Source organism: Homo sapiens, chromosome 22, assembly GCF_000001405.40.
Source record: "Homo sapiens chromosome 22, GRCh38.p14 Primary Assembly".
NCBI classification, from domain to species: Eukaryota; Metazoa; Chordata; class Mammalia; order Primates; family Hominidae; genus Homo; species Homo sapiens.
Window position 1 is genome coordinate 30,173,565 of NC_000022.11, and position 7,268 is coordinate 30,180,832.

The window sequence follows — 7,268 nt, forward strand, 5'->3', positions numbered from 1 at the left end:
GAGAAGCAGATGATGAATTCCAATTTGGGCAGACTGCACTTGAGTTTTCTTTGGAATACCCATGTGGAGACTTTTAGTCGGCAGTTGGATACACACATGGATCTGAAGTTCAGAAGGAAGATCTAGGCTGTAAACATAAATGTGGGGGTCTTTGCTTATGAATGGTAATTGATTCCTAGAAGTGGATGAGATCACTCAGGGAGGGTGTGGAGAATAAGGAGAAAGACAGCCAAAGACAGAACTTTAGGAGAACATTCAAGTAACAAGCATTTTTAAAGGGAGCGAATAAAGGAATAAGTGATTAAAAAGAGTCATTTAGAAGAAGGGATCCCTTCTAAAGCTTCCCAAATACTGCTACCAAATCAGCTGGCTATCCTATTTGTGCTTAAGGCAAAGCCTACTTTTTGGCTCCCCAAATGGAGAATGTGTTACTAAACCAAAGATGGAAAGTAGGGCAACATCATATACAGAAAGCATATCTTCAGGGCTTTTTTCAGATACATATGTGGATACTCTACTCCTGAGGCTCTATTGGTAAACAGATCATAGTAGCGTCTTGTTAGTCTGCATCAAGAAACACTTAATAATTAAAAAGAAACACTTTAAAAAGCTGTATGTTTAAAATATAATATGAAAAGTATTAGAAGTCATTTGATGATCATCTGATGTTCAGATCAACCAGATAATCTTTCTAGCCTGCCTGATGAGTGGCCTTTTGCTTGGCTTGTTGGCTTTGGCGTCAAGTGTACAAACTCAGCCAGTTGGAATACACCTGAAAAATGTTTCTCAAATGTTCCTTTGTGTGGATAAATTTGTTGGTTTATATAGTGTGTATATGTTATTTGTCTATGTTAAGAAGTGTCCCCTGGCTGATAACATACTTGTTTTTCAGCCCACAAATTTTCTATGAACCATTGAGAGTTCCCAGGCCTCACTATTACCTTGAGATATTGAAGATATTTTGACTTACTGCAATAAAATTACAGTTCTGCAACTTGTAATTAAACTTTGGATTTATTTGAACAATGAAAGAAAAAAGAGAACAAAACTATTAAACCATCAGGTCAACTGGTCAGTTGAGAATTCGTACACTCATCTTCTCTTCTTTCATGTGTACCCAGATTTGATAGAAGTGAGGATAGTTTGGTTTGAATGGAAAGCATGGCCAAGCAACAAGCTAACTTTTACCAGATACTTTTTTCCTACAGTCAAACCATAACAAATTCATCTCCTAGATAACAACTTGGTTTTTGTGCTTTGACTTTTTATGTTGCTATTTCCTTTCCTTTAGAGCAGCCCATTTCAAATTTTTACATGTAAGTAAACGAGTTATTTGAGGGGCTGCTCTATATCTTTTCTCAGAGTTTTGTATAGCTACTGTCTTAGTATAAGCCAAAGGGAATTTGTGGTTCCTGAGATCAGAAATTCAACTGCTTTCTAAAACTGAAGGATGAATTAGTACTTAAGTTAGCCATTTTGATACACAATCTTTGTTCCTAAATGACACTTAAATGTTTTATTTGCACTTCCACTATTTTGTTATAGTAACATATCAATAATAATAACATGCCTCTCCTACGAAGGACAAAAAGGATAATTTTAGAAACTCTACTATATATTCTCACAAGTCTTGCTTTAAATATATATATTATATATTATATTATAGAATATATTATATATAATATAATATAGAATATATATAATAATATATATAATATAATATAGAATATATATAATAATATATATAATATAATATATATATATATATATCTTATTCCATTTTCCTTCCAAAGAAAAAACATAGGACATGGAAAAACCTTTCCTCCCATCTAGTGGCTGGAAAATATATAAATGTCCTCTATCTGTTTTTTGGAATTCCAGGCATTAGGGATTGTTTGGCAGATTATAATATATCTAATTGTTCACCCAGTTAAGCAAAAATAAGTTCTAAAATCTTCACCAAAGCCAAACTCAATGGCAAAATATATATCTATAATGATTCACTAACCAACTTCCCTTTCATCAATAACATACTCCTCAGTAGAAAGGTTATGGTTCTTCTTAATTCATTATTCTGAACACACGATAGAAAACACAAGGCAGTATGTCTCTGCTACCTGAAATTGGGACTTAAATTACATTTGCCTCTAAAGCAGTCAGTGCCCCAGATCTCTCCTAAACCTTAATTGCTTCTTGTTGGCCCCACAACTTAACAACCTTCTCTCAAGAGTTGGATGTGTTGAATTCACTAGAGAGAGCCAAGAAACTGTCTCAGAAACTGGCTGCCTCCAAGGGACCTCAGCTCCTGAAACTTGGAATACCAGACTCTGATACTGGCAGCAGGGCCTCTGTGCAGGGCCAAACCAGCCCACAGGAAAGCAGGTTTGGATCCGTTATGCAGCTTGAGGGATTAATGCTTGGTCTACCTGTCTTATATATGTCTTGTGCAGATGTCAAAATCTCTGCTGAATTGTGCCTCTCTCTGGTGATTCTCACAGATTCAAAGAATGAATTTTGTGTGCAGTCAGCAAAGTTCTGAGTGCTCCAGGAAGAAGAGGAAGGTCAGTGAACCAGTGAAGGTCTTCATCCCTAACAGAAAATGAAAGCTAAATATTCCTTCTACATTTATTTTAAAATAAGTTTATTTTGTAAAAACATGCATAAACTGTCTTAGCAGGAAAGTACATTCCTGTTACCAAAACCTTTTTCTAAATTTTTTGCTCAATTTTTTTTGTCAGTTGCTAAGTGCTAAATTACTGGCCAGGTAGGACGCGAGTCCACTTTGCCATAAGGAAAGCGGGTCAATAGGGCTGCCTCTGGATAGCATTACTTCAAAGCTGGGTTAGAGATGAGGCACCTTTTATATTATATTTGTAAAAGAACCACAGCAGCTATTTTGGAAAGAAGCTGTTGTTCTCAAAGGAAAGAAGGATTTTTTTGCATAATTAAACTCTTCAGCTATTTAGACTACTGTGAAATGTTTTGACTTGTTGTAACCTGTATACTGGAATCCCTCTCTAGCTGTATTAAAAATTCCCACAGAGTTGCATAGGATGTGTGGAGGTGCTTATCCAGGTGTGATTTATGTGTTAACCTCAGTCACGAGGTTGATCAGCTAATTGTGGGACCAAAATGTGCCCTGCCTCAACTCTGGCCCCAGGCCCTGTTCTGTTATCCAATCCGAAACACGGAACATGCTGCAATTCAGGAGTCTGGCTCTCTTCTTAAGACCTATATTAAATATTTCCCAAGAAGCACTTCAGTTTATCAGTCTGTAACCTGCAAATGATGCTATTAGTTCCCTCCTTATTCTGGAAGAATTTGGATAGACTTAATTGATGATTAGTATGAGATGAACAATAGATGACTTAAAGTGTTATTTCTATTATTTATATAACATGAGATTTAGTAACTTATAAAATGAGGTTTAGTAATTTAATTTAAATGGATAGGACCAATAAGTTAAATATTAAGTGTGTGACTTATGGTTAAATAAAATGAAAATACAAGACTTTTTTTTTTGCTCATCTTTTTTCACACAGAAAGGAAAAGTTTCTTTGCTAACATCAGTATCTCTCCAAATGTAAAGTGTAGTGAGAACATCAATAATTGGAGTGCTTGTTAAAATATGGATTACTAGGCCTGCCTCATTTCTACTAAATCAAACTCTCAGGTTCAGGCACTGTGGAAAACTCTCCAGATTCTAACACACACACACACAAAATGGAGAACCAATGACCTCTGACCCAGACTAAAGTGAATCTCTGTAGGAAAATCCCAGGGAGCCTGCCTGTTCAGCACTGCCCCTTGCCAGACTCTCAGCCATTCTTGACTATCTAGGGCAGCCTACCAAACTGGGGTCTTAAATTGGGCTATAGCACTGGGGCCTGCAGGCAAGGAGGAGCATTTCCCCTTCTTTTAGCATATTAAGTGGACTCATGAAAGCCTGCTCTGCCACTGAAAGAAGGAGGGGAAAGGTATTGGACTTATATCCTTGATAGAATTGTAGACTGAGTCACTATAATTTCTTTGAAGAGAATCACATAAAGAGATTAGCTGTCTAGTAGAGGAATTAGGTTTGTGTCTCTCCAGAGAGAAGGTCTAAGAGCAAATCAGTAAAGGCTATAGGAGATCAATTTATAAGGAGGAGCTTTTTTTTTTTTTTTTTTTTTCAACATAATCTCAGCTCACTGCAACATTGACCTCCCAGGCTCAAGTGATCCTCCCACCTCAACCTCCGGACTGGCTGGGACTACAAGCATGTGCCACCATGCCTGGCTAATTTTTGTGTCTTTTGTAGAGATGGGGGTTCGCCATGTTGCCCAGGCTGGTCTCGAACTCCTGACTTCAAGTAATCCAGCCACCTCAGCCTCCCAAAGTGCTAGGATTACAGGCATGAGCCACCACACCCAGCCCAGGAGGAGCTTTTTAACTCTACAATTGTCAGTTGTCAAAATTTTGAGATGGGCTACCTTGTGAGTTAGTGAGCTTGTCTTCACTGCAGGTATTTGAACACAGAGGAGCTTCACAAAAACTCTATAAAGACTCTCAAAGCAAATTAGCACTACTGAGTAATTAGTTAATCTGGATTTCAAAAGGAACTATTTTGCTTCAAGGGGAATTGAGCTCATAATCTGTATTTGTGATAGTCATAAACTTAGCCTAAGGCTGACAGATCCTTTAAGTCAAAGTCTCAAATCTGAATCTATCTAGAAAATTTCTATAGTGATTTTATTATCTCTATTAACACCTCTTTCCCCATCTGAACAGTCTTTATCACTGCCAGTAGGTGGACTGTGTGTTTCTGAGGCAGTGTGTATGTGAGACAACAGAGAAGTTTCTGGGCCTGTGCCCTTGGCTGGGCACACACGGAAGGAGATCTGTTACCAAGGGAATCTGAGAACTGTGAAAATGTGAACTATCTGATTTTACACAGCAGAGCTCAAATATGCAACCAGCTATCAATATTGGAGTGTATTCAGTTCTATCTACTGAATGATTTATTAGAAGGAAAGAAATCTTTTCTCTATTCATTTTGGTTCTTAATTGTAATGGGATGAATAAACACAAGTGCATCAAGGAGCTGACACTTTAGTGAAAAGAATGAAAACAGGCCCCATGCTGGGATGCCTGAGCTGTTCTAGACCAGCCATTCCCTCACTCTGACTGTGCTTGGTTCATCAGTGTGATCACAAAGATTAGATGATGATAGTTGGAAACTGAGACATTATTAAATAAAAAGTTATGTAGGGGAAATTTGAATTTGGCTGTTTGGGGTTTTTCTGTCTTTACAGAAATTTGGTCTAGCTGGAAAGACATGGGTTAGGTTCATGATTGCCGCCAGCCTTTGAAGCCAGGCACCGAAACCACACCTTCATTTCCCCTCTTGCAGGTCCCTCTGCTGTCTGGGTCCTTTCATTCTCCAGCTCACCTCTTCCAGGAAGAGGCTGGAAATGTTCATCAGTATCAAAGTTGCATTCACATGAGTTCAGAGTTGTGTGTGTGTTCTTAAAATTCCACTAACCATTAGAGCCAACTTTAATGTATCTTAAAATTGTCAATTTATGGTTTCAAACCCAACAGTATTGGATATTTAGGGACTTCCACAAAATATTATAATAAAATAATTCTCAGTTATAATCATCATCATTTAGAAAGAGGTCCCAAATAATAAAATGAAACTGAACACACTATGCATGTAAGAGTTAAGTCAAGGTCTGCTACAATGTAGGATTCTAGATTCTGTACAAGCGAGAAAATGCCTAAATGTATCCCCTTTAGACATTTTTAGTTTGTTTAAAGGAAAAAAAGGTAATATTTTCAGTGTGACTGTGTGATTTGTGTACTGAGGTCATGGCTGAGACTTGATACATAATTTCCAGTTTTGATAGAGAAGGAGGACACCCTTGTCTTAGTTAAAAAGAAAAAAGCTTTTATTAATGGGCCCTTGGGTTATCCATTGGTAAAGTCAAATTCCTATTTAGAAATGGCAAGACTTGAGGTCCTAAGGAGCTAATCTGCTCATATAATATCCCCTTGGGTGCACAATATCTCTGCAATTAGAGTTTTGCCGTCTGGGAGGAGCAAACTCAGTCTTACAGTAGGTGGTGGCTCACAGGTACCACTGGCTATGTGTAAACTATTCCTTTGCAACCTGGCTGGAAGTTGCACATGAGATTTGCTCAATAGAGGATGTTGAGAAAGGGATTGGCCAGCGTTTCTGGTAATAGGCTGATTTACTCAGCTTCAGGGCTTTTTCCTGTGTTATAATTCCATCATGTTATCCCAGATCCTTTAGTAGTAAAGTAGTAAAGTCTCATTAAACTTTTATTTTATTTTATTTTGAGATGGTCTCACTCTGTCACCCAGGCTGGAGTATAGTGGTGCAATCATGGCTCACTACAGCCTTGACCTCCCAGGTTCAAGTGATCCTCCCACCTCAGCCTCCCAAGTAGCTAGAACTACAGGTACATGCCACCATGCCCAGATAATTTTTGTATTTTTTAGTAGAGATGAGGTTTTGCCATGTTGCCCAGGCTGGTCTCAAACTCCTGGGCTCAAACAATTTGCCCGCCTCAGCCTCCCAGAGTGCTGGGATTACAGATGTGAGCCAGCATGCCCAGGCTCATTAAACATTTTAGTCTGGACTTACCTGTGCCATGAGGTTCAGCAGTGCATGGGTTTTTCCATGGCAGGAGTGGAGAGGCAGGCTGCTTGAGATAGCCAGAAACATCTATGGGGCACTAGTGGAGCATTCCTTGGGGTCTCAGACACTTAGAAACCTGGTATAAGAGTGGATTTTAAGGGGTTGTTGTTTGGGTATTTCAGGACTCCTGAAGGCTGGTGAAGTCTGGAGCATCTAGGTTCCATATGGGTAATTACTAATTGGCTCTAGGGTAAGCAAGCAAAGTTAGTTTTTCATCTTCCTTTTAGCAAGGTAGTGAAGAAAAAGCCTAGGCTGCTAGATTCAAAACCTCTCATTTTCTAGATAAGATATTTCATCTCTCTAGCCCCCAGTTTATTCGATCTATAAAATCTGAATAATAATTACACCTATTTCATACTTTTGTGAGATTTAAGCAAGCGGATTCAAGTAAACTGCCCTGCACACATATAGTCACTACTCATCGTGATGGCTGCTTTTTAACTCTTAGCGTGTCCACTTTGTCTCCAGGAACTTAGGATTCCTTCTTTCTTCCCCTTCCCTTCCCTTCCTTTCCCTTCCCTTCCCTTTTTCTCTTCCCTTCTTCCCTTCCTTTCCCCCCTTC

At 38.6% G+C, this 7,268-nt stretch overlaps 1 protein-coding gene across 11 annotated transcripts in view; it reads left to right on the forward strand.

The window, feature by feature from the left end:
* The window catches only part of HORMAD2 (HORMA domain containing 2), a 129,725-nt gene that overhangs the window by 95,833 nt on the left and 26,624 nt on the right, over window positions 1–7,268 (forward strand). For 4 of the 11 annotated variants that reach the window (XM_047441156.1, NM_001329457.2, NM_152510.4 and 1 more), the window contains one exon: window positions 2,499–3,511. The exons of the other annotated variants lie outside the window; for them this stretch is intronic. In XM_047441156.1, the coding sequence (XP_047297112.1) occupies window positions 2,499–2,603 (105 nt within the window). In that variant the 3' untranslated portion in view covers window positions 2,604–3,511. Of the gene's footprint in view, window positions 1–2,498; window positions 3,512–7,268 lie in introns of those variants that run through there. 11 annotated transcript variants of the gene reach the window in all.